Below are 26,562 nucleotides of genomic sequence, written 5' to 3'. Positions count from 1 at the left end.
TAACTGAGTAAATGTCTCAATCTCACCTCTTGAGATCCTTCTTATGCACAGAACTGTAACAGATGGGACATTTACTCCACGTCTTCTCACTCAGTGAAAGATAGTGCAGGATGCATGCCCAGCAGAAGATGTGTCCACAACGGGTTATCTTGGCTGCAGTAGGTGGATAGAGGCATATTGGGCAAGATGGCACTTCATGGCTACAAATGCGCTGAAACAAAATGCCACCAGAAGGTTCACTGCTTGAAGAACTGATTAGGGACTGTCAAAGTTTTAGGCCTCTCTACTCTCTCATCCGCATCTCTCTCATCTCTATCCCCGTACATCCTTATACTCAACATATCTTTCTAAAATTGTTTACAACGTAGGTACATGTATGATCATTTTTTTCTTTTTTTTTTTTTTTTGAGACGGTCCATCTCCTTGGTTCACGCCATTCTCCTGCCTCAGCCTCTGGAGTAGCTGGGACTACAGGCGCCTGCCACCACGCTCAGCTAATTTTTTAGTAGAGACGGGGTTTCACTGTGTTAGCCAGGATGGTCTTGATCTCCTGACCTTGTGATCCGCCCGCCTCGGCCTCCCAAAGTCCTGGAATTACCGGCGTGAGCCACCGCGCCTGGCTTTGTATGATAGCTCTTTAAGCAAAGCATCAAGGAAACCATAATAACCGTTAAATATAATAAAACTAATACACAACAGGTATGTTGGGGGTTCTACATTAAATAGAAAAAAGTGACAAATCACTATATTCCCATTTATAAAAAAACTTAATATGTATGCATAAAGGCCTAAAAAGGGTCTAGAAGTAATCTACCAGTAACTTCCAACAAAGAACGCATTAAAAAGACTTCATTTTTTTTTAATAAAACTTAAGTTTTTATGCTATGTCATTCTCAGATGATTTTATACATTTTCACAGTAGTGAGAGTTCAAGCTTTTTTTTTTTTTTTTTTTTTTTTTTTGAGACGGAGTCTCACTCTGTCACCCAGGCTGGAGTGCAGTGGCGCCATCTCGGCTCACTGCAAGCTCCATCTCCCGGGTTCACGCCATTCTCCTGCCTCAGCCTCCCAAGTAGCTGTGACTACAGGTACCCGCCACTGCGCCGGGCTAATTTTTTTTTTTAGTAGAGACGGGGTTTCACCGTGTTAGCCAGGATGGTCTCGATCTCCTGACCCCGTGATCCGCCCGCCTCAGCCTCCCAAAGTGCTGGGATTATAGGCGTGAGCCACCGCGCCCGGCGAGAGTTCAAGCTTTAAGGTCAAAAGCCCCTGCTCATAAAGAAAAAGTGCCCATCATTTTGAAATTATTATTCTTCAACAGATACCCTACTAGGACCAACAAGGGGATACCTAGAGTTTATAACTTCAGTAGAAAACACATCAGTGGCTTTGAAAGTGCAACTGAAGCTGGGCGTGGTGGCTCACGCCTGTAATCCCAACACTTTGGGAGGCCGAGACAGGTTGATCACTTGAAGCTGGGAGTTTGAGACAAGCCTGGACAACACGGTGGAACCCCGTCTCTAATGAAAATACAAAAATTAGCCAGGCATAGTGGTGCACGCCTGTAATCCCAGCTACTCAGGAGGCTGAGGCATGAGAATTGCTTGAACCCAAGAGGTGGAGGTTACAGTGAGCCAACATCGCGCCACTGCACTCCAGCTGGGGCGACAGAGCAAGACTGTCTCAAAAAAAAAAAGAGGCCAGGTACGATGGCTCATGCCTGTAATCCCACCACTTTGGGAGGCCAAGTCGGGAGGATCACCTGAGGTCAGGAATTCAAGACCAGCCTGACCAACATGGAGAAACCCCATCTCTACTAAAAAAAAATACAAAAAAAAATTAGCTGGGAGTGGTGGTGCGTGCCTGTAGTCCCAGTTACTCGGGAGGCTGAGGCAGGAGAATCGCTTGAACCTGGCAGGCAGAGGTTGCAGTGAGCCAAGATTGCACCACTGTACTCCAGCCTGGGCAACAAGAGCGAAACTCCGTCTCAAAAAAAAAAAAAAGTACAACTGGGCCAGATAGAGTGGCTCACGCCTGTAACCCCAACACTTTGGGAGGCCAAGGTGGGTGGATCACTTGCAGTCAGGAGTTCAAAAACAGCCTGGCCAACAAGGTGAAACCCCGTCTCTACTAAAAATACAAAAATTAGCCAGGCGTGGTGGCGGGTGCCTGTAATCCCAGCTACTCAGGAGGCTGAGGCATGAGAATTGCTTGAACCCTGGAGGCAGAGGTTGCAGTGAGCCAAGATCACACCACTGTACTCCAGCCTGGGCAACAGAGTGAGACTCTTTCTCAAAAAAGAAAAGTACAACTGTGTGGCTCATTCATGTGCCTCCCTGCCACAAGGCTGAGGCCTACTTTGATAGTGATTGCTACGAATGGCTGCCAATGAAGCAATGGCCCTGTAATGAGCCCAACCCAGATCAGGAGGGTAAGGGGTTACTACTTCCCAGCTTACACATCTTCAGATCAGAGCCTTTCATACACCATCCCTACAGGCCAGAGCCAATTAGTCACAAAATGGACTCCAGGAAGAACCAGGAACTGACCTCTGGGAAACATCTATAGAAAGGCCAGGCAGAAAAGGGTATCAAGCAGTGCACACAGCCAACAGCTGCTGCGTCACCACAGTGCCTTTATTTAGTGCTCCCATTCATAGCTTATGGGCTTGGCTGAGCTACTCACCACTTGTTCCACAAAGTCCCAGTTAACTAATGTATCAGGATCAGCAAAATGAGCTGTGTAGTCTTGGTCTTCAGACACCACAAATTGGCAGCTAGAAATAGGAAAGACAGGAAAAAGCTAGACTGTCAGGATCTACCAATAAACCCTCAGCAGAAATTGTCATCTATTCACTTAGAAATCAAATGCAGGCCATTAGCAGCCCTGGTTCATGAGGCACTGCACTAGGACCTCAGCCTCAGTTCTGAGCTCCAGCTCTGGAAAGAACCCAAAGACTCAGCAGGCAGAAGTCTAAATCCATGAACTGTTTTCTTCTGCTTCAAGTCCAGCCAAATTCCCCAAAGGCATCCCTTGAACTAAAATTAACCTAGACCGTGACTCCATCAAACAGCAGTAAGCCAGATTTCCTCTCTCACCCCTTAGAACCCCAGAAAATGGCTAGTCTTCAAGGCAGTTGAAAAGACTGTTCTCGGCCAGGCACAGTGGCTCACACTTGTAATCCCAGCACTTGGGGAGGCCAAGGTGGGTGGATCACTTGAGGTCAGGAGTTAGAGACCAGCCTGGCCAACAGGGTGAAACCCCATCTCTACTAAAAATAGAAAAATTAGGCCAGGCATGGTGGCTCACACCTGTAATCCCAGCACTTTGGGAGGCCGAGGCAGGTGAATCACGAGGTCAGGAGATCAAGACCATCCTGGCTAACACGGTGAAACCCCGTTCTACTAAAAATACAAAAAAAATTAGCCGGGCATGGTGACACGCGCCTGTAGTCCCAGCTACTTAGGAGGCTAAGGCAGGAGAATCACTTGAACCTGAGAGGCAGAAGCTGCAGGGAGCCGAGATCACGCCACTACACTCCAGCCTGGGCGACAGAGGGAGACTCTGTCACCAAAAAAAAAAAAAAAACAGAAGACTGTCATTAGTATTTGAAACCAGTTCATCAGTTCATATAAAGTACAAAACGGTTACTTCAGTCTAGATCCAAAGTCAAATCTTCAATTATGACTAGGGCCACACAAAAGGAAACAAAAGGGGATCATATTTGAGCAAATGTATGCCAAGCACTTCAACTTGTCATTCAATTGTCTCTTAAGAAATTTTCTCTTCCTGGTTGGGTGCCGTGGCTCACGCCTGTAATCCCAGCACTTTGGGAGGCCGAGGCGGGTGGATCATGAAGTCAGGAGATCAAGACCATCCTGGCTAATACGGTGCAACACCATCTCTACTAAAAATACAAAAACAAAATTAGCCAGGGGGTGGGCGCCTGTAGTCCCAGCTACTCGGGAGGCTGAGGCAGGAGAATGGCATGAAGCTCCGGGAGGTGGAGCTTGCAGCGAGCTGAGATCGTGCCACTGCACTCCAGCCTGGGTGACAGAGCAAGACTTTGTCTCAAAAAAAAAAAAAAAAAAAGAATTCCTCTTCCTGGCTGGGCATGGTGGCTCATGCTTGTAATCCCAGCACTTTGGGAGGCCGAGGCAGGTGGATCACGAGGTCAGGAGTTTGAGACCAGCCTGGCCAATATGGTGAAACCCCGTCTCTATCAAAAATAAAAATAAAAAAATTAGACGGGGGTGGTGGTATGCACCTGTAGTCCCAGCTATTCGGGAGGCTGAGGCAAAAAAATCACTTAAACCCGGGAGGCAGAGGTTGCAGTGAGCCGAGATCACGCCACCGCACTCTAGCCTGGGTGGCAGAGCGAGACTACATCTCAAAAAAAAAAAAAAAAAAAAAAAAAAAAAAAAAAAAAAAAAAAAAAAAAAAAAAAAAAAAAAACCTTTCCTCTTCCTTATAAAGGAGAGGCTAAATCTCAAAGCTGTTAAGTTACTTAAGGTCAAAGGCCGAAACAAGATTCAAATCTAGGTCCAATTCCAAACATGTTTTCTACCTTATCATGATACTAAGTTATTTAAGCATTATATTAAGTACCAAAAACATCCACCTGGAAAGTGGGTAAAAGAAAGGAAGGGCGGGGCAGTGGTGAACAGAAAAAGAACGAGACCAATTCCCTTTCTGCTTCTTTCCCACAATAGCTTAAAAAAAGCCTCTCACAGAGGCACCACAGCTATCCGGAGAGTCCTACTTTCCCTTTCCTCTGAGGGGTAGCAATACTCACTTGGCCTGTAAAAAGAGTTCCTTGTTAAAAGGCTTATGTCCCCACTTGTTCCTCTTTCCCCAGCTACCATGTCCACTGCCTTCAAAGTGACCCGTCTGGCCACGGGGTTCAAAAGTGAAATTCAACAAGTGGTTCAGGTTGATCTTCTTAGGACCAGAGAACTGGGCAGGGCTAAACTCTGCCCGTTGAGCCTCTGCTACCTAGAGAGAATGAGAATGAATCAGTATTTCAGATTAGGATGACACTGATTTATAGCAGAAACCCAAAAAAAACCCTCCTTTTACACAGCTTTTTTTTTTGAGACGGAGTCTTACTCTGTCATCCAGGCTGGAGTGCAATGGCACGATCTTGGCTCACTGCAACCTCTGCCTCCCAGGTTCAAGTGACTCTCCTGCCTCAGCCTCCTGAGTAGCTGGGATTACAGGCGTGTGGGATTAAACCACACCCAGCTGATTTTTGTATTTTTAGTAGAGACAGGGTTTCGCCATGTTGACCATGCTGGTCTCCAACTCTTGACCTCAGGTGATCCACTCACCTCAGCCTCCCAAAGTGCTGGGATTACAGGCATGAGCCACCTCGCCCGGCCAGGAAGAGGAATTTTTTTTTTTTTTTTTTGAGACAGAGTCTCACTCTGTCACCCAGGCTGGAGTGCAGTGGCGCGACCTCAGCTCAAAAAAAAAAAAAAGTATGTAGCATTTCCTCTTATGCAGTCTTCCTCCTAAGATGTGCCTGCTTCCCGTTCTCCCGCTGTAAGTTCCCTGAGGGCTCCCCAGCCATGTTTCCTGTACAGCCTGCAGAACTGTGAGTCAATTAAGCCACTCTTTTTCATAAATTACCCAGTCTCAGGTAGTTCTTAATAGCAATGAGAGAATGGAGTAATACAGTCTTTAAAAATAAATACAAAGCTAGGCAACGGTAATGCACACCTGCACTCTCAGCCACTCAGGAGGCTGAAGAGGGGCACTTGAGCCCAGGAATTCAAGGTTGCAGTGCACTATGATACACCTGCAAATAGCCACTGCACTCCAGCCTGGGCAACAGGGTGAGATTCTGTGTCTAAAAAATAAAATCTAAAATTTAAAAATAAAATCAGGATGGGTGACCAGGAATAGTAGCTCATGCCTGTAATCCCAGCTCTTTGGGAGGCTGAGGTAGGCGGATCACCTGAGGTCAGGAGTTCAAGACCAGCCTGGGCAATATGGTGAAACCCCATCTCTACTGAAAATAAAAAAAAAAACTAGCCGGGTGCAGTGGCAGGTGCCTGAAATACCAGCTACTCGGGAGGCTGAGGCAGGAGAATCGCTTGAACCCGAGAGGCAGAGGTTGCAGTGAGCCAAGATCACACCATTGCACTCCAGCCTGGCATCAAGAGCAAAACTCCATTTCAAAAAAAAAAAAAAAAAAAAAACACTAGGATGGGCGCAGTGGCTCACATCTATAATCCCAGTGCTTTAGGAGGCCAAGGAGGGAGGATCATTTGAGGCCAGGAGTTTGAGACCAGTCTAGACAACACAGGGATCCCATGTCTCTACAAAAAATTTAAAAATTAGCCAGGCTTAGTGATGCATGCCTGTGGTCCCATCTACTTGGAAGGCTGAGGTGGGAGGATAATTTGAGCCCAGTAGGTCAAGGCTGCAGTGGGCCACAATCATGCCACTGCACTCCAGCCTGGGCGACACCACAAGACCCTGTCTCAAAAATAATAAATTAAAAATAATTAAATACAACTGGTGGTATACCATCCAGTCAGATAACTTCCTTTTTTATATTAACAACCAAGCTTAAAAATAACGCCGCATTCTGGGCCGGGTGTGGTGGCTCATGCCTGTAATCCCAGCACTTTGGGAGGCTGAGGCGGGCGGATCACGAGGTCAGGAGATCGAGACCACCCTGGCTAACACAGTGAAACCCTGTCTCTACTAAAAATACAAAAAATTAGCTGGGCATGGTGGCGGGCACCTATAGTCCCAGCTACTCGGGAGGCTGAGGCAGGAGAATGCCGTGAATCCAGGAGGCAGAGCTGGCAGTGAGCCGAGATCACGCCACTGCACTCTAGCCTGGACGACAGAGCGAGACTTCGTCCAAAAAAAAAAAAGCAAACAAAAAACAAAAAAACGCCACATTCTCCACATTCTGTTTGCTTGTGCAACACAGGAAGCCCAAGACTTCCAGGTCATCCCTTATTTTTCATCTCCACATGGCTCTGATCTCTTTAATCAAACGGTCTTCCACCCTTAATGCCCCAAACTTAGATCTAAGAGCTTGTGCTCAGTCAACAAAATCCTCCACATTCTCAACCTTTTATCATCTTCAGCTTGTCCTAGCTGGCCCACTGTCACTTTCTCTGACGCCACTCATACTTCCTGATTATCCTCGCAATACCCTGAACTCCAGGTCCTTGACCTCCTCTCTTCCAATTAGCTTGCCCCTCCCATCTCAGCCAACCACACCTACAGGTTTCCGTTCTACAGCTGTAATGTCCAACACAGCAGCCAGTAGCTACATGTAGCTACTAAGCACTTGAAATGTGGCTGTACCACGTGGTAAACTTTTAGATTTTAGATATATTGAATTTAATATATTAAACATATTAAAATGGACTTTTTACTTCTCTAGCGCAGGCAGCTAGAAAATGTATGATTACACACATGGCTTGATCTATTAGACAGGAGTGTTCTATAGTCTAGACCAACAACCACAACCTCTTCCACTATCTTAACTTTGAGCATTCTGTTGTCCAGACCGGAATACACTCCTTCCCCAGGTTTAGTCCTGACTCCAACAATTCTTTACCCCCACTAGGACCTCCAAATCAATGATCCAACCCCTCAGATTTGGCTTAGATCCTGTGGTCCACTGCCCACTTCCTTTTTTAAATTTTTATTTATTATTTATTTATTCACTTATTTATTTGGAGATGGAGTCTTGCTCTGTCGCCCAAGCTGGAGTGCAGTGGTGCGATCTCAGGTCACTGCACCTTTCACCTTCTGGGTTCAAGCAATTCTCCTGCCTCAGCCTCCCAAGTAACTGGAATTACAGGCACCTGCCATCACGCCCGGTTAATTTTTGTATTTTTAGTAGAGACAGAGTTTTGCCACATTAGCCAGGCCCGTCTCAAACTCCTGGCCTCAGGAGATCCACCCTCCTTGGCCTCCCAAAGTGCTGGGATTACAGCTGTGAGCCACTGCGCCCGGCCCCATCACCCACTTCTTCATATATCTGCTGTATTCACCTGGCAAAACCTTCCCCTGATTAATTCAACTCTTTTCCTATTCCACATCAGCCCTGCAGCAGACAAACAGGGCTAACAAATACAACCACAGCAACCAGCCTCACCACAGTAGACCCTCATGTGCCTGGAAGTACTACAATCCTAGTACGCTTCTGCAGTCCATTCATTCCCTCACTTTCCCAGACAACTCCTTCACTCCTCAGGCTTCCAAATCTCCTCTTGGCTCACCTTAGATATTCCACTGAGAAAATTAGAACAATCAGAAAAGAATTCCAACTACCTCCGAACCCACCTCCATCACCAGGCCTTCCTTTTGTTACTGGGGATGAACTGGTAGAGTTCCTATCTAAGACAACTGCTCCACTTCTCACTAGATCTCAAGGACTCAAGGACATTGCTCAGCAATTCTCTCCCTTTTCCCCACATCACTTTGCCTCTCACCAGGACCATCCCATGAGCACAGACATGTTATCATTTCCCTAATCTTAAAATCCCTCAGCCGGGCGCGGTGGCTCATGCCTGTAATCCCAGCACTTTGGGAGGCCGAAGCGGGCGGATCACAAGGTCAGAAGATCGAGACCACCGTGGCTAACACGGTGAAACCCCGTCTCTACTAAAAATACAAAAAAAATTAGCCGGGCGTGGTGGTGGGCTAATAGTCCCAGCTGTAGTCCCAGCTACTCGGGAGACTGAGGCAGGAGAATGGCGTGAACCCAAGAGCGGAGGTTGCAGTGAGCCGAGATTGCGCCACTGCTCTCCAGCCTGGGGGGACAGAGCGAGACTCCATCTCAAAAAAAAAAAAAAAAGAAAGAAAAAAAATCCCTCAAGCTCATATTCCCTTCAAGCACCGCCTCACATCTCTGCTCCCCTTTAGAGCAAAGCCACTGAAAAGTACTGTGTAAATTTGCTGTTTCTTCTTCCCATCCTCCTATTCTCTCCAATCTACATGCCATTTTCAAATCGAATGGTCAACTTTCAGTCCTATTCTTAACCTATCAGCAACACTTGACAAAACTGATCACCTTCTGCAACACCTTTCAGCAATTTTCCTCCCGCCCTGACTGTGCTCTCTTCTGCTGGTTTCTTATCCAGACTCAGAGGTTCAGTTCTTGAACCTAATCCGTTTTTGGAACACTCACTCCTTAATCTATCTCACTTAGTTCCACAGCTTTAAGCACCAACTGTATGCTGACAGCTCTCTAACCTGGGTCTCTTCCTTGACTGCTGATTCACAGTTAACTACCTACCTCTACTTATATTCTGCTTATATTTATCAAATAGGAATTTCAATGTACATATAACATTTCCAAACTGAAGTTCTTTATCTCAACCCTATTCCCCTCTCCCAAAAAAACTTTGTGCTCTTCTTGAAAGAATGTTCTCCATTCCAGCAAAAGGTACCTGAATTGGGCTTATGCCAAAAACATTACTCATCCTTTTCTCTGCTCAGACCCCACATCTAACAAAAAGTCTTGGCTCTATATGGAAGTAATATCTCAAATCTTAACGTCTCTCACCACCTCCATCACTCACCCTCTTTCAAAGCTTCCATCACTCTCACCAAGAATATCTTTGTAGTCTCTTAGTCTTCCTGCTTCCACTCTTCCCCTTTAAAACTCCGCATCAGGTTACCTTACTTTTCTCCTTAAACCTTTCAATGGCTTCTCATCTCTCTGAACAAAAGCCAAAGTCCTTCAAAGCCCCACATGATCTGATCCCTTTCCTAGTCTTTGGGTACATTTCCTACCTCTCCTCCTCCACTTACGGTAGCCTACTTGCTTTACCTCAAACCAATAAACGCACTACCACCTCCCGTCCCTTGCATGTGCTATTCCTTCAGGCTAAGACACTCTTCCTCAAAACCATGTAACATGGCCAGGTGTGGTGGCTCATGCCTGTAATCCCAGCACTTTGGGAGGCCAAGATGAGAGGATTGCTTAAGGCCAGGAGTTCAAGAGCAGCCTAGACAACATAGTAAGATCCACTCTCTAAAAAAGAAAAAGAAAAAAATTAGCCAGGCATGGTGGCATGCACCTGTATTTCCAGCTACTCAAAGCTGAGGTGGGAGGATCACTTGAGCCCAGGAGGTCAAGGCTGCAGTGAGCCATGATCATGCCAATGTACTACAGAGCAAGACCATCTTAAAACAGAGCAAGACCATCTTAAAACAACCATATAGTGTGCTCCCTTGCTTCTTTTAGGTCTCTCTCAAAATCCACCTCCTCAGAGAAGGTGTCTTTAAAGCACCTTCTAAAACTGTTTTCCTTGTTACTCTCTATCCCTTTACTTCCCTCAGTCTATATTTTTTTTATCTGTCTTATTCTATCATAATTGCATGGTATGAAACGTAATTTACTCTATCAGTCTCTTGTAGATAGGCATTTAGGTTATTTCCCAATTTCGCAACTACAAACAAAGCAGTGAATACCCTTGTACATAAATGTCTTTATGCACTTACAGAAGCATAGCTAAGAAACTCCTAAAAAAAATTTGAGACTATAGATATATGCATTTTACATTTTGCTAGATTACAAAGGCAAATGTCATTAATGTCATTTTATTACCTAAATATTCCAAAAAGTACCTCTAATTCAAGAGTGATAACAGAAAGACCATACAAATTAAGGAACCCCAAATTTGTCATAAAGGAAATTTTCCTTCCTCCAAAGAAATTTTCATAACCTTCAGGGGAAAAAAGGAGGCAAGGTTTCAAACCTGGTTAACCCTCTCGCCTACTCAAGACTGCTTTGATTATCTATTCCTCTACCTCTTGTTCCCCTTCTCAACTACTGATAAACTGGGGGACGGGGGATGGGATCAGATCTCATGCTTATGCTCTAGAAAGGACATTCTCAAATTCCATACCTCATCTCGTCTTCCACCATTAAAAGAAGAGCTAAAGAGTTTGCTGCTGCCGCCGCCCCTTTGAGGAGGCATCTTGTTAAAAGTCTTGCTTTTCTGTGAACTGGAGCGACGGGACTGGTTGTTAAAACTTTCATTTTTGGGGTAGGAAAGTTCACGTTTGCGATTATAACGCTTGGATCCACTGGAGTTCTTTCCATCTGAAAGCAAGAAACACAAAAGAACGTCTTAAGAAGCTGATACATTCACTTAGCCAACTGCCCTCCACCTCCCAGCAAAAAATAAGGGTGAATAGGCCCTTTGACCACCTTCAGGAATCTGGGTTTGGGCCAGAGCATGAGTGCTTTGAGCAAGACAACACATAGTAGAGTGTTTTTTTCTTGCAATAATGAAGCCTAACGGGTCCCCTCCCTCAAAACAAACACAGCGTAGATCAAACCACATGGATTCTCAATCCATAATGTCTTTACTTTACACAGCTTAACCACTGTCCTTGTAAAAGTTCAGTCAGATAAAGTTACAGGAAATGAAACAGGCATTCTGTATTAAGGAAAAGTATTTTACCTGGTAACAGGACAGAAGAGATTCCTTTTTAAATTACTATAACATAACCAGATTCTATACTACAAGGGGTTGTCCTAGGCCTTAGCAAATATATTCAAAAGGCATTAACAGCAAAACTGTGTTTACAGAAGCTCTAGAGGTCAAATTCAGAAGCTGTTAAATTGACAGAACAAAAGAAGTTGAGCTCTAAAAGCATACTGGGGGCTGGGCGCAATGGCTCACGCCTGTAATCCCAGCACTTTGGAAGGCCGAGGCAGGTGGATCACCTGAGGTCAGGAGTTTGAGACCAGCCTGGCCAACATGGTGAAACCCCATGTCTATTAAAAATACAAAAAATTAGCCGCGCATGGTGGCGGGCACCTATAATCCCAGATACTTGGGAGGCTGAGGCAGGAGAACTGCTTGAACCTGGGAGGCAGAGGTTGCAGTGAGCCGAGATCGTGCCACAGCACTCTAGCCTGGGCAAAGAGCAAGATTATCTCAAAAAAAAATTTAATTAAATAAATAAAAGCATATTGGATCAGATTGAGTCATATCCTTTTTAAAAATGGCCAGGCGCGGTGGCTCATGCCTGTAATCCTAGCACTTTGGGAGGCCGAGGTGGGCGGATCACGAGGTCAGGAGATTGAGACCATCCTGGCTAACACAGTGAAATCCTGTCTCTACTAAAAATCCAAAAAAAAAAAAAAAAATTAGCCGGGCATGGTGGCGGGCACCTGTAGTCCCAGCTACTCGGGAGGCTGAGGCAGGAGAACGGCGTGAACCCCAGGAGGCAGAGCTTGCAGTGAGCTGAGATCGTGCCACTGCACTCCAGCCTGGGTGACAGGGCGAGACTCCGTCTCAAAAAATAAAAAATAAAAATGTTTCTTGTTTTTCTCTTCAATTATAATATGTGTTCAATTCTGAAAATAGTGTAGAATAATTTAAAGTTGCCAGTACCCACAGAGCACTAACTCATTAACAGTGTTTTCCTTTTAATCTCCATTTTACATACGTGTCACAAATCTTATATAAAATGACAAGCATAGAAGATATATTGTTTTCTGCTTACTACTCTGTGAGCATTTTTATGCATCCCTAGTCTTCAGAAGCATGATTAATTGCTGTACCCTTCTTGGCCACATACTTACAGAATAATGTAACCAATCCCCCATTGTTGTATATTTAGGTGGCTTCTAATTTTTTGTTAGTTTAATATAATACCATTGGGAGTCTCTTTACACAGAGGCTTAGGTGATTATGTCAAATTCTCAAAAAGTGGAACTGACAGATAAAATATGGTCATTAAAGCCATTTACACATCCCTAGGTTGCTTTCTAGAACCGTTACACCGATTTATTTATACTCTAACAACATAATAATTACTTATGCACTTTATTTATTTAGAGACAAGGTTTTGCTCTGTCACCCAGGCTAGAGTGCAGTGGCACAATCTCGTTCACTACAACCTCCACCTCTCAGGCTCAAGCCACCCTCCCACTTCAGCCTCCTGAGCAGCTGAGACTACAGGCACTCACCACCATGTCCAGCTGATTTTTGTGTTTTTTGTAGAGACGAGGTTTGCCTTTGTTGCCCAGGCTGGTCTTAAACTCCAGAGCTCAAGTGATCCATCTGCTCGGCCTCCCAAAGTGCTGGTATTATAGGCATGAGCCAACACTCCCAGCCAATTTTTTTTTTTTTTTTTGTAGAGTTGGGGTCTCACTTTGTTACCCTGATTGGTTTCCAACTCCTGGACTCAAGCAATCCTGCCTCGGCCTTCCAAACTGTTAGGATTAAAGGCATGAACCACCATGCCTGGTTTATCTTTTTTTTGTTTTTAACAGTCTCACTCTATTGCCCAGGCTGGAGTGCAGTGGCGCAATCTCGGCTCACTGCAACCTCTACCTCCCGGGTTCCAGCAATTCTCCTGCCTTGGCCTCCCAAGTAGCTAGGATTACAGGCATGAGCCACCACGCCTGGCTAATTCTGTATTTTTAGTAGAGATGGAGTTTCGCCACATTGGCCAGGCTGGTCTCGACCTCCTGACCTCAAGTGATCCACTCACCTCGGCCTCCCAAAGTACTGGGATTACAGGCATGAGCCACCATGCCCAGCATGTTTTATTCCCCCAGGGTGGAAAGCAGTGGTGCCATCATAGCACACTGCAGCCTCAACCTCAGCTTAGCATCTTTCCAACTCAGCCTCCCAGCTAGGACTGCAGGTGTGCACCACCACACCCAGCTAATTTTTAAATTTATTTTGAGACAGGATCTTACTTTTGTCACCCAGGCTGGAGTGCAGTGGCATGATCTCGGCTTACTGCAGCCTCCAACTCCTGGGTTCAAGCAATCCTCCTGCCTCAGCCCCCCAAGTAGCTGGGACTCCAGGCATATACACCATTCTTGGCTTAATTTATATTTTTGATATAGACGGGGTTTTGCCATGTTGCCCAGATGGGTCTCAAACTCCTGAGCTCAAGCGATCCACCAGCCTCAGCCTCCCAAAGTGCTGGGATTACAGGCGTGAGCCATCAGGCCCGACCTAATTTTTAAATTTTTTTGTGCAGACGGGGGTCTCACTATGTTGCCCAGGCTGGTCTCAAACTCCTGGGCTCAGGCGATCCTCCAGGCTCAGGTGATCTTCCCACCTCAGCCTCCCAAAGTGCTGGGATTATAAGCATGAGCCATGGGGTCTGGCCCCACTTTTATCTTATTACAATGATTCTCAATCTTGCCAGTTCATAGGAATCACACAGATGAGCTTTTACGGAATTCCTATGCTCAGGCCTCACCCTCTAAGATTCTGATATAACTATACTAAAGTACCTGTCTGCAGACCTGTAATATTATCTGAGTAATTTTTTTTAAACTTAGAAAAAATTATTTCTTGGTAAGTACAATCACCAGCTTTTTATAGCAGGCTAAATAAATTCAAGGTTAAACAATGCCTCAGAAAGAAGAAAATGTAAGTTAATAAATCAGAGACCAAATTTTGAAAGCAACCACTTCACGCCCATAGTCTGTCAACCTCACTGTATAAATGAGATGTCATTCTCTCCAAACCTGACCACCTAAAACCTGGGAGTCAATCTAAACCATGTGAAATGGCAGCAATGTAAACAGAACAGTCACAGAAACAGGCTAGGTTCACTCCTACCAGTTACCCTTAAATCCTGCTTACGGACAGTGACCCTTACCTTAGTTACAATTTAAGGCCAGGCATGGTGGCTCCCTGTAATCCCAGCACTTTGGGAGGCCAAGGCAGGCAGATCACATGAGGCCAGAAGTTCGAGACCAGCCTGGCCAACATGGTGAAGCCCCATCTTTACTAGAAATACAAACATTAGCCAGGTGTGGTGCCACACGCCTGTAATCCCAGCTACTTGGGAGGCTAAGGCATGAGAATCATTTGAACCCGGGAGGCAGAGGTTGCAGTGAGCTGAAATCACGCCACTGCACTCCAGCCTGGGCAGCAGAGTGAGACTCTGTCTCAAAAAACAAATAAATAAAGTTAGAACTTAAAAACTAAACTTTTACCTATTACTTCAGTTAGCAACAGTTAGTGTCAAACATGGCACTAGTAGTAACAATTAGAAAGCAAAGTTTCAGCGCTGGACTTGGTGGCTCATGCCGGTTGTCTCAACACTTTGGGAAGCCAAAGCAAGAGGATCACTTGAGTCCACGAGTTTGCGACCAGCCTGGGCAACATAGCAAGACCCCATCTCTACAAAAAATTTAAAAATTAGCCCAATGTGGTGGCACACACCTGCAGTCCTAGCTGAGAGGCTGAGTTGGAAGGATTGCTTAAGCCAAGGTTGAGGCTGCGGTGTGCTATGATGGCACCACTGCTCTCCACCCTGGGCTACAGAGTGAGCCTCTGTCTCAAAAAAAGAAAAAGGCCAGGCACGGTGGCTCACGCCTGTAATCCCAGCACTTTGGGATGCTGAGGCGGGTGGATCACGAGGTCAGGAGATCAAGACCATCCTGGCTAACATGGTGAAACCCTGTCTCTACTAAAAATACAAAAAATTAACCAGGCGTGGTGGCGGGAGCCTGTAGTCCCAGCTACTCAGGAGGCTGAGGCAGGAGAACGGTGTGAACCTGGGAGGCGGGGCTTGCAGTGAGCCAAGATTGCACCACTGCACTCCAGCCTGGGAGACACAGTGAGACTCCATCTCAAAAAAAAAAAGAAAAAGATAAACCAGGCACAGTGGTTCAAGAGTTCAAGGATCTCTTAAGCCAAGGAGTTCAAGGTTTCAGTCAGTTATGTTTGCACCACTGCATGCCAGCCTAAGTGACAGAGCGAGAGCTTGTCTCTAAAAAAAAAAAAGCCAGGCACGATGGCTCATGCTTGTAATCCCAGCACTTTGGGAGGCCAAGGCAGGTGGATCACGAAGTCAGGAGATAGAGACCATCCTGGCTAACATGGTGAAACCCCATCTCTACTAAAAATACAAAAAATTAGCCAGGCTTGGTGGCGGGCGCCTGTAGTCCCAGCTGCTCGGGAGGCTGAGGCAGGAGAATGGCGTGAACCCGGGAGGCGGGGCTAGCAGTGAGCGGAGATCGTGCCACTGCATTCCAGTCTGGGCGACAGAGTGAGACTCCGTCTCAAAAAAAAAAAAAAAGGAAAACTCAGGGGATGCAGAACCCCAGCTAACTCAGCCACATTCTCTTGCTTTGCTTTCCTTAACTCCATTTCACATCACCTCAAGCAAAGGAGATTCTACGAGGATAGGTATATAAAGAAAACACATATCCTCCAACCTCATTATCCAAGACTGTTTCAGATGATCCTGGACCCTACCTGTTTGACCCTAACTGCTGCTTTCAAGATGCACCTCACGGTTTGCATAGATTTAGGTAAAGCCAGATTCTACATGGCAAGGGCTTATTAAGAAAGTAAAATGGCCAGACACGGTGGCTCATGCCTATAATCCCAATGCTTTGGGAGGCCGAGGCGGGCGGATCACCTGAGGTCGGGAGTTCGAGACCAGCCTGACCAACATGGAGAAACCCCGTCTCTACTAAAAATACAAAAAATTAGCTGGGCATGGTGGCGCATGCCTGTAATCCCAGCTACTCCGGGGGCTGAGGCAGGAGAATAGCTTGAACCCGGGAGGTGGAGGTTGCGGCAAGGCCGAGACTGCACCACTACACTCCAGCCTGGGCAACAAGAGCAAAACTCTGTCTCAAAAAAAAAAAAAAAAAGAAAGTAAACTGGCACTCAGCAAGAAGGCTGTCTTCATTTCTTCACTTATTACCACACTGGCAAGGAAACAGTTTCATAATGCTTACAGAAATGCTCACTGATAAGACAGTAAACTGCTCATTTCCAAAACACATAACAACTGACCACATCATGATTAGTGATTTTAGTTGCCAAAATCAACTCGTTTCTCGTCTTCCAGTTACCTAAGGGTATGAAGACAGATATGTCAAGTGAGAGACTGGCTCTTATCTCTAGACCCAGGCAAAAGGCAGCTAAAGGTTGAAGGTACCATCAGGCCTGGGACCCAGAGATAAAATTCAGAGTATTATTTTTGAAATGTTTTGTGGACAACTTGCCAGGATATACATGGGAAAAACTCGAGGGTAGAACAGGAGTGATAAGATGATCCACTTTAGATTTTGGAAAACAAAAAATATCAAGTTCCTGGGAGAAGGAACTATGGGTGAAGTTTTAAATCTCAGAGTGGTGGTTCTCAATCCTGGCTGCACACCAGAATCACTTGCACAGACTTTTTAAATTATGAATGCCCAGGACCCACGGGTTCAATCTAGGCTTAAAGAATCAGAAAAAGGCCAGGCACAGTGGCTTATGCCTGTAACCCCAGCACTTTGGGAGGCTAAGGTGGGAGGATCATTTGAAGCCAGGAATTTGAGACCAGCCTGGGCAACATGGTGAGACCCCCATCTCTACAAAAAAAAAAAAGATAATAAATTCCTAGGAAGGGGCCCCACACACCCCTATTTTTTTTTTTTTTAAGTTCCTCATGAGGTCAGGAGTTTGAGACCAGCCTGGCCAACATGGCGAAACCCATCTCTACTAAAAATACAAAAATTAGGCCGGTGTGGTGGTGGACACCTGCAATCCAGCTACTCAGGAGGCTGAGGCAGAAGAATTGCTTAAACCGGGAAGGCAGAGGTTAAAGTGAGCTGAGATCGCGCCACTGAACTCCAGCCTGGGTGACAGAGCAAGACTGTCTTGAGGGAAAAAAAAAAGTTCCTGAGGAGATTCTGATGCACAGCCACCACTGAGAACAACTGCCAAGAACTACTGTCAAGACACATTCCAAAATGGACAAGACCACTAAACTCAGGCTCCAGAGTCGACAAATAAATGACTTAAAAACTTAACCCAGCTTCTCAGTTGTTCCACATTTCCCTAATGGAAAGGTCTCCACCAAGTAGCAGTAGGTATATCTCAGCCTCCCCCCATTACCAAATTAAGGGCCACAAGTTTTTCACAGTTAAATTACTTGGCATCTTCATTTCTAGCTCTAGTTCTAACAGGTGGCTCGGCCTAGAGGTCAGAATACCAGTCAGCAAGTTTCTGCTGCTGATTCATGCTGTAATCACAAGCAAGTTGCTTACCCATCATCCAGAGTAGTTGACAAGCACCTCCAGAGGGGCAACATATGGCCTTACTACAGAATCAACTGACAACAAATTGAATCCAGCTGAAATTAGTAATTCTGAATGAAAGGAAGAGAGAGGTGGTATCAGGAATGATGCACATGCCAGTAAGTTATCTGCTTGCTAAGTGTGATTATACAAAGCTTATTGAAAAATACCGCCTAGGACTTCATAAAAATTTACTTGGACAAATCACTCTTAACACTGCTAAGCCTCTATTTTCTTTTCTGTGAAACAGGACTAATATTCTACCATACTTCCTCATAGAATCATGAGGATTAAGAAAGAAAACTTCTGTAAAATGCCTACCATAGTGGCTGACACACAGTTTTACTATGATTTGAAAGCCTATCATTAATAAATCCAAAGCGTTCCTGTCAAGAGCACCCACTAGACTTCCAATGAAGCCATATAAACCAAGGAATCCAGCCAACGGGCCCTGAAATTCTTTTAATTTCTCTAAGTGGTTTTACTGAAGGCTTCAAATCACCTCAATTTTCAAAGCCATTAAAATCTCCAGGTCCATTTACAGCTCAGAGGCATTCTTCAAGGCAGATTACCACTAGTAACCTGGTTTCTGGTACCAGAATAACAGGAAGAATGCCAGGGCAGTGCTTCATACCACCAACCTCAAAATAACTGCCTCATAATACCTGACCTTCCCTTAACCTCCCTGGCAGTTCTATCGGCCCAGGGGGATGGGACAAGAGCCTGGTTCCTGGCCAGAGTCCACTGCCTGCCCATAAACGGCCTACCTTCTCTCTTGCCTCTCTTTCTTTGCTCCCTCTAAATGACTTTCCCCACTTTCTAACCCACCTTCTCTCCTCTGAGCTATATTCACAGGATATTTACTGCTGCATGTTCTCAGAAATACCTATTAACACTACTGGAATGAAGCTGTAGGAATATAATCAAGAAAAGGAATGTTATATAAATGTTCAGGCAATTAGCCCAGGCAAAGAAACTGTGGTATGCGACTCTAGCCGGAAAGATCAAGAAAATCCTGGTAGCCAAATTTACATATTTCCTGTGTACAAATGAAGGGCAAATTTAAGCCAGCCACTGGAACAAAATCTCAAAGAAATTAATCATGTAGCTAGGAAGCAAATGGCCATTAATGACAGTTTACAGAATAGAAACCAAAGGGCTTTCTTCCACGAGGTAGAAAAGGGGGAGAAAAAAAGTGACTTAAATATTTGAATACTGAAAACTCTTGCTCTTTTCACCTTGACAAAAGATAAACTATCTTTTCACCTTACGCTTGTTTTCCCCTCAACTCAGTACTCTGTAATTCAAGAGGTCCTTTCAATGATTCCCAGCAGAATCAAGTATATGAAGTGTTCAGCTTATGAGATACTGCAGAAATCTTTTTATGGGATTATGCGGAGCTTGAGTGTACCCTTTTGTTAGAGCAACCATCTCATCGTGAAGTCACTGCATCAGAGCTCCTGAGTATCTGCTGTAGTAGCACTGGTCTTAGCTGTTACGTTCCTAAGGCAGCTTAGTTTCAACTTTAAAAATCAGCCAATATCCAGTTTCCTAACCTTTTAATCTCCACATATCCTGCCTTTTAATTTGTTCCTAAATGCAAGCAGTGGATTATGGCTAGTGAAGAAGCATGGATTTGGCTACAAAGCCCATCCTTCCTTGCTAAACGAACACGCACAGCAGAAGCCAGAAAAGCAGACACTGGCGGTGGCAAACATGGTCAAGCTTTCTAACACACACATTAAACAAAAAAAAAAGAATGCTGCCTCAAGGCACATATGTGTTATTTGTAAAATCTAACAAAGGGCCTTTACATGAGTTTTTGTTTTTTTAGACGGGCTGGAGTGCAATGGTGCAATCTTGGCTTACTGCAACCTCCGCCTCCCGGTTTCAAGGGATTCTCCTGCCTCAGCCCCCCGAGTAGCTGGGATTACAGGTGCGCACCACCACGCCGGACTAATTTTTTGTACTTTTAGTAGAGACGGGGCTTCACCATGTTGGCCAGGCTGGTCTCAAACTCCTGAACTCAGATGATCCACCTGCCTCGGCCTCCCAAAGTGCTGGGATTACAGGCGTGAGCCACCGCACCCGGCCTACATGAGTTTTTACAGAAGTTTTCTTGTTTTGAGACGGGGTCTCACTCTGCCACCCAGGCTAGAGTGCAGTGGAGTGATCGTGGCTCACTGCAACCTCGAACTTCTGGGTTTAAGTGCTCTTCCTCCTCCCCTGCCTCAGCCTCTTCACAGCTGGGACTACAGGTGCGTGCCACCACGCCCGGCTCATTTATTTTTTTGTAGGACAGGGTCTCGAACTCCTGGGCTCAAGTAATCGGCCTGCCTCAGCCTCCCAAAGTGCTGGGATTATAGCCACCCAGCCCATTTGAAATGTTAACAATGACAAATACTTGCTTTGGTCAAACTACTATAGAATTCTGTATCATCTTGTTGGGTAATCAGAGTTAATTCCACTAACCAACATATTCAAAGTGAAGGACATAGCAGTAAAATTCCTTAAATACCTGTTTGTTTGTTTTATTTTAAGTTGTCACAAGCTTTCACCTACTGCTAAGAAATAAACTTAAGGCATTTATTGCAACTGACTAATGAATGTATGTTAGTGGCTTAAAGAGGAGCCCCAGAAAAATTAGTTGAGAATTCACAGTTGGAGAACCAAATCCTTAACATACATCTGGGAATAGAGTACAAAAATAAACTTACTTATCAATTGCTTTGAACAGACCACTCTAAACCAGTTCCAACACTGACCAAAAGGACTGGTTACCTTCTATCTTTTGAGGGATCTATGGCAAAGCTACGCATGTGCAGAACTGCAAAATCAGTCTGCATACATGCCATTTCCTGACACGGCCCGAGAACCCATACTCCAATGGTCTCACACCAGGTAAACAAGTTTGCCATATCCAGCAGGTGAACTCTGAGCGAGTTAGCAGACCTTACAATTTTCTGTTTTTTTTGTTTGTTTTAAGTCAGCCTTAGTTTTCTTTTTACTGTTTAGAGATGGGGGTCTCTGTTACCCAGGCTGGATGGTATGCAGTATCGTGATATAGCTCACCGCAGCCTCAACTTCCTTGAGCTTAAGCGATCCTCCCACCTTACCCTTCCAAGTAGGTAGGGTTACAGGTGTGTGCCACCACACTCGGCTAATTTTTTTTTTTTCTTATGGAGACGAGGGTCTTACTATCTTGCCCAAGCTGGTGTGAAACTCCTGGGCTCAAGCTATCCTCCCACCTCAGCCTCCCAAAGTGTTCGGATTACAGGCATGAGCCACCGCGCCCGGTCTCACTCTAAACAGTTTTTTTAATCTTGACAAGTTTTAAACTGGACCTCCACATTTAGGGACTTCAAATATTTCCCTCTCTGCCACAACATCCCCACTGTCGCTGAAAACACCTTCCTATTACTGCTAATGTGACTGAAATACAAAAGAGAGCAGAGATTAGTACAAACTTCGAAATAAAATGAAGAACACCGGGACTCTAGCCTCTGCCAACTCCTAACATCCTACCTGCTCAGTTTATTCCTTCTTTAAATATGAACAATTTCACCCTGGTAGACAAGTCAGTGACTGGCACAGTGAAAACAGAGGTAAAAACTTCACCTAGTACTTGGCACATGGTAAGCCCTCAATTAAAGGTAGCTATTATCAACATGGTCATAATATTGACAGACTTGATTACAGAAATAAAACCTTCCCTGTTAAAGGACAATCCTATAGTCCAACACACAACAATAGACATTATGTGTATTTGGCGCAAAATAGACGCCAGATATCCTAAGACCTTAGTTCATTTGTTTTGTTTTTAATTAGTTTTTTAAGTTTATTTAATTATATTACCTCCACCTACCTTTACAAGTAAGTAAACTCGGGGCACTCACTCAAGGTCTGGCAAACTGGGACCCAAAAAGACTGAATTCATAGTCTGCGCTCTTAACCCCACAATGAATAGCCACTGAAGGATGACTTCCTCTTCGACAGAGGAATGGATCTGGGACCAGGTTATTAAATAAGAGATCTGAGTTTGAAAGGTCCTTGGGCCCTCACCCACCCATCTAAACTTGAACACTATCCAATGTTAATTCAACATTAAAGGGTAGAACAACTTAGTGGTTTTAGGAGCGTGGACTGATGAGTCACACAAACCAAGTCTTAAGGCCTGCTGTGAGCCAAATACTAGCTGGGTGACCTTACCCTTTCTCATCATATGCAAAATGGCGATAAGAACAGCACCTGCTTAATCGAGCAGTTTTGAGTATTAATGTAAATGATCCACGTAAACCACGCAGCACAGCGCTCATTAATGTAACTGCAAATGAGAGCCATGGAAAAGGGCAGGTAGGAGCTATAAAAGAAAGTGGAGCCTGTCCCCGAGTAACCCAGCCGATGAGAGCAACGACTCTCCCCAGCAGCAGGGGCAGTCGCCCCCGCCCACTGCCGCAGGCCCGTCCTTACCGCTCTTGGGTTTAGACTCGCCGGCTGGCCCCGCCGAGGCGGAGCGGGGCGGCTGTTGCCCTTTGCTGCTGCCCGAAGAGGCGGAGGAGCTGTTGGAGCCGCTGTTCTTGTCCATGTCGGAGGCGGTGGCGGCGGCGTTGGGGGAGCTCAGCGGCATCAACGGGGGCCTCGGCGGCGACGGCAGTCGGAGCGGAGCGGGCGCGGCGGGGACCCAGGCTCATGGCGTTCAGGGCCGGCGGGGGTCGGCGGCGGCAGCGGTTCTCGGCCTTCATGGCGACATTTTTCCCTGTTTCCTTCCTTGGCTTCTCAAACTAGGAAGAGAAGCGGCGGACGGGGCTGTTAAGCCCGGCGGCAGCGGCGACCGAGGACGAGGAGGCCGGGGCTCGGGAGTCCGGGCCGGGCCTGGCGGGGCGGAGGCTGCGGGGGAAGGGGAGGCGAGGGAGGTTGCGCGAGCCCCGCCGGCCGGCCGGCCGGACACGCTCTCCCGCCGCGAGGCAGGGGAGAGGGCTGGCTGTCTCGGTGTCGGGGACTAGTGTCTCCGACACAGCAACGGATACTCGCCCCTGGGCCGAGGCCGACCTGCTCCGGGAATGGCGACGAGTCGCCAAACAGCATCTCAAAGAACCCGGATGGACTGTATATATAGTGGAGAGGGGGTGAGGTATTCTGGGAAATGTAGTTTTTGCCTACATCCGGGTCTCGTGGTTTGTTTTTTGGTTTTTGTTTGTTTGTTTGTTTTGGTTTTGTTTTTTTTATTTCCTCCCCCACCTCCGCCCCAACCCCACTGTGAGGGCATTCAAAATAATGGGACTTGCAGTTGCTCCAAGTCCAGGTTTTTCACTTAGTACACTAAAAATACAGTAACAATAATAATATACACTGATAATAATGTAGCCAAACATTGGAATACCTGTGGAACTCCTTTATAGACTCGTTTGATTTATGGTTCTTTTTTTTTTTTTTTGAGGCGGAGTCGCTCTGTCGCCCAGGCTAGAGTGCAGTGGCGCGATCTGGGCTGACTGCAAGCTCCGCCTCCCGGGTTCACGCCATTCTCCTGCCTCAGCCTCCCGAGTAGCTGGGACCACAGGCGCCCGCCACCACGCCCGGCTAATTTTCTGTATTTTTAGTAGAGACACGGTTTCACCGTGTTAGCCAGGATGGTCTTGATCTCCTGACCTCGTGATCTGCCCACCTCGGCCTCCCAAAGTGCTGGGATTACAGACGTGAGCCACCGCGCCCGGCCAATTTATGGTTCTTATTCTAGCGTTAATACCAATTGATTTATGGCCTTTAGTCTATCTCATATTAGGAATAATAATAATAACGTTAATAATGACAATACCTTACATTTAATATCACTTTACGGCACTTCTTCATACAGTACATCACTTTATTTCTTTAGCCTGGCGTGGCGGTGCGCACCTGTGGTCCCCATTACCCAGGAGACAGAGGCGGAAACAGGCCATAAGCAGTGTTTCATGCGTGTAATCCCAACACTTTGGGAGGCAGAGGTGGAAGGATCCTTGGAGGCCAGGAGTTCCAGACCAGCCTGGGGAATATAGCGAGACCCCTGTCTCTAAAGAATAAAAATATTTTTTAAAAAATTAGTTGGGCAGCCGGGCGTGGTGGCTCACACCTGTAATTCCAGCCCTTTGGGAGTCTGAGGAGGGGGCAGATCACTTGAGGCCAGGAGTTCAAGACCAGCCTGGCCAACATAGCAAAATCCCGACCCTATTAAAAATACAAAAATTAGCTGGGCTCTGAATAAAATAGTTTGAATAAAACTAACTTTAATTTAAAAGAGAGAAAGAAAAAAAAATTAGCCAAGCATAGTGGCTGTGGCTGCACACCTGTAGTTCTAGCTACTCAGGAAACTGAGGTGGGAGGATCACCTGAGCCCAGCAGTTGGAGGTTGCAGTGAGATACGATCGTGCCAGTGCACTCCAGTATGAGTGACAGAGAGGGAGACCCTGTCTAAACTTTTTTTTAAAAAGTAGAAACAGAGAACAAAAAGCAGATTAGTCATTTCAAAATTACTTTTCTTGTAAAGGTTTAAGCAGAATGGACTTCCTTATGTGGGGTAAAACTGACCAGTTTGGGGATTTGATGATTTCTCAGAAGGTCAGATAAACAATTTCGTTTAGGCGTGGTTGGGTAGAAATTCACCTTGAGTAACTCTGTTTTGGTTTGGTCTACTGTGCTGAAGCTCAGTGCAAAACAATGGGCTCCTATAAATTGTATTTAACAGCTGTTAACATTATCACATTTAATCTTCTCAATAACTAAATTTTAGACTAAGTGTGCCTGTAGTCCCAGCTACTCAGGAGGCTGAGGAGGGATGATCACTTGAGCCCAAGAGTATGAATCCAGCCTGGGTAACACAACAAGACTCTGTCCCTAAATAAATAAAATTTAAAGATGAGTAAATGGACTCCAAAAGTCCAGATAATTTGCCTATTATCACATAGCTAACAAGTGATGTTCTTACCTATGAGACAAGCAGTTCCTCATTTTACAGATACAGACTGAGATTTAGAAAATCATGCATATGGGGCCGGGCACGGTGGCTCACACCTGTAACCCCAGCACTTTGGGAGGCCAAGCCGGGTGGATCAACAGGTCAGGAGATCGAGACCAGCCTGACCAACATAGTGAAACCCCGTCTCTACTAAAAATACAAAAAAATTAGCCAGGCGTGGTGGTGCGCACCTGTAATCTCAGCTACTGAGGAGGCTGAGGCAGGAGAATCACTTGAACCCAGAAGGCACAGGTTGCAGTGAGCCAAGACTGCACCACTGTATTCCAGCCTGGGCAACAGAGCGAGACTCCATCTCAAAAAAAAAAAGAAGAAAGAAAATAATGTATGTGGGTCAGGTGCAATGTAATCCCAGCACTTTTTGGGAGGCCTGTAATCCCAGCACTTTTTGGGAGGCCTGTAATCCCAGCACTTTTTGGGAGTTCGAGGCGGGCAGATCACGAGGTCAGGATTTCGAGACCAGCCTGACCAATACAGTGAAACCCCGTCTCTCCTAAAAATACAACAATTAGCCGGGCGTGGTGGCGCACACCTGTAGTCCCAGCTACTTGGGAGGTTGAGGGAGGACAATCGCTTGAACCTGGGAGGCGGAGGTTGCAGTGAGCTGAGATTGGGCCACTGCACTCCAGCCTGGGTGACAGAGCGAGACTCTGTCTCAAAAAAAAAAAAAAAGAAAAAAAAAGGAAAATCATGTATGTGGCCAGGCAAGGTAGCTCAATCCCAACATTCTGGGAGGCTGAGGCAGGAAGATCACTTGATGTTAGGAGTTTGAGACCAGCCTGAACATAGTGAAACCAATTCTCTACTAAAAATTAAAAAACAAAAAACAAAAACATATGGTTTACAGATATAGACGCTAAGACTTTGGGAATCATACCACACCTATTTGTACTTTGGAAAATTACAAATGATTCCCTTCCAACCATAGTAGTTTGAGATTCAAAAGATCACATAGACATGCTATTAAGGAAATGACCAGGGCCAGGTGCGGTTGCTCACGCCTATAATCCCAGCACTTTGGGAGATTGAGGTAGGCAGATTGCCCAAGCCCAGGAGTTCAAGACCATTCAGGGCAACATGGCAAAACCCTGTCTCAACAAAAAATGCAAAAATCAGCCCAGTGTGGTGGTGCACACCTGTAGTCCCAGCTACTCAGGAGGTTGAGGTGGGAGGATGGCTTGAGCCTGGGAGGGTGAGAAGTGAGCTATGATTGTGCCACTGCACTCCACCCTGGGTGACAAAGTGAGATCCTATTTCAAAATAAAGAATGAATCAATAAATAAGTAAATAAGACCAGCCTAGCCAAAATGGTGAAACCCCATCTCTACTAAAAATACAAAAATTAGCGCCGGGAGTGGTGGCTCAGCACTTTGGGAGGCTGAGGCAGGTGGATTACCTGAAGTCAGGAGTTCAAGACCAGCCTGGCCAATATAGCGAAACCCCATCTCTACTAAAAATACAAAAATTAGCCTGGCATGGTGGCGCATGCCTGTAATCCCAGC

General features: G+C 45.8%; 2 protein-coding genes across 3 annotated transcripts in view, besides 2 other annotated features; both read right to left on the bottom strand.

Moving 5' to 3' along the window:
• The window catches only part of RNF10 (ring finger protein 10), a 43,233-nt gene extending 20,096 nt beyond the window's left edge, over positions 1-23,137 (bottom strand). For both annotated transcript variants that reach the window (NM_001330474.2, NM_014868.5), the window contains exons 1-5: positions 22,525-23,137; positions 10,892-11,088; positions 4,795-4,994; positions 2,685-2,775; positions 27-211 (exon numbers count right to left, since the gene is read on the bottom strand). In NM_001330474.2, the coding sequence (NP_001317403.1) occupies positions 27-211; positions 2,685-2,775; positions 4,795-4,994; positions 10,892-11,088; positions 22,525-22,681 (830 nt within the window). In that variant the 5' untranslated portion in view covers positions 22,682-23,137. The remainder of the gene's footprint in view (positions 1-26; positions 212-2,684; positions 2,776-4,794; positions 4,995-10,891; positions 11,089-22,524) is intronic.
• Positions 22,536-22,796, bottom strand: LOC128071547 (uncharacterized). Its single transcript, NM_001414895.1, has one exon. It carries the CDS (start codon positions 22,794-22,796, stop codon positions 22,536-22,538), a length of 261 nt encoding a protein of 86 aa, NP_001401824.1.
• Positions 22,918-22,987: a silencer, noted in NCBI's record as "silent region_4954". NCBI's record gives its function as "represses an Ori minimal core promoter by ATAC-STARR-seq in GM12878 lymphoblastoid cells {active_cell/tissue: GM12878}" and the evidence as "EXISTENCE:reporter gene assay evidence [ECO:0000049][PMID:35858748]".
• Positions 23,086-23,239: a silencer, noted in NCBI's record as "fragment chr12:120972057-120972210 (GRCh37/hg19 assembly coordinates)". NCBI's record gives its function as "represses an EF-1alpha promoter that drives an FKBP-Casp9 reporter gene in an ReSE screen in K562 erythroleukemia cells {active_cell/tissue: K562}" and the evidence as "EXISTENCE:reporter gene assay evidence [ECO:0000049][PMID:32094911]".

This window comes from Homo sapiens, chromosome 12 (assembly GCF_000001405.40).
Source record: "Homo sapiens chromosome 12, GRCh38.p14 Primary Assembly".
Lineage (NCBI taxonomy): Eukaryota > Metazoa > Chordata > Mammalia > Primates > Hominidae > Homo > Homo sapiens.
Note: the sequence above shows the minus strand (reverse complement) of the source record. Positions and strands in the feature narration are given on the sequence as shown.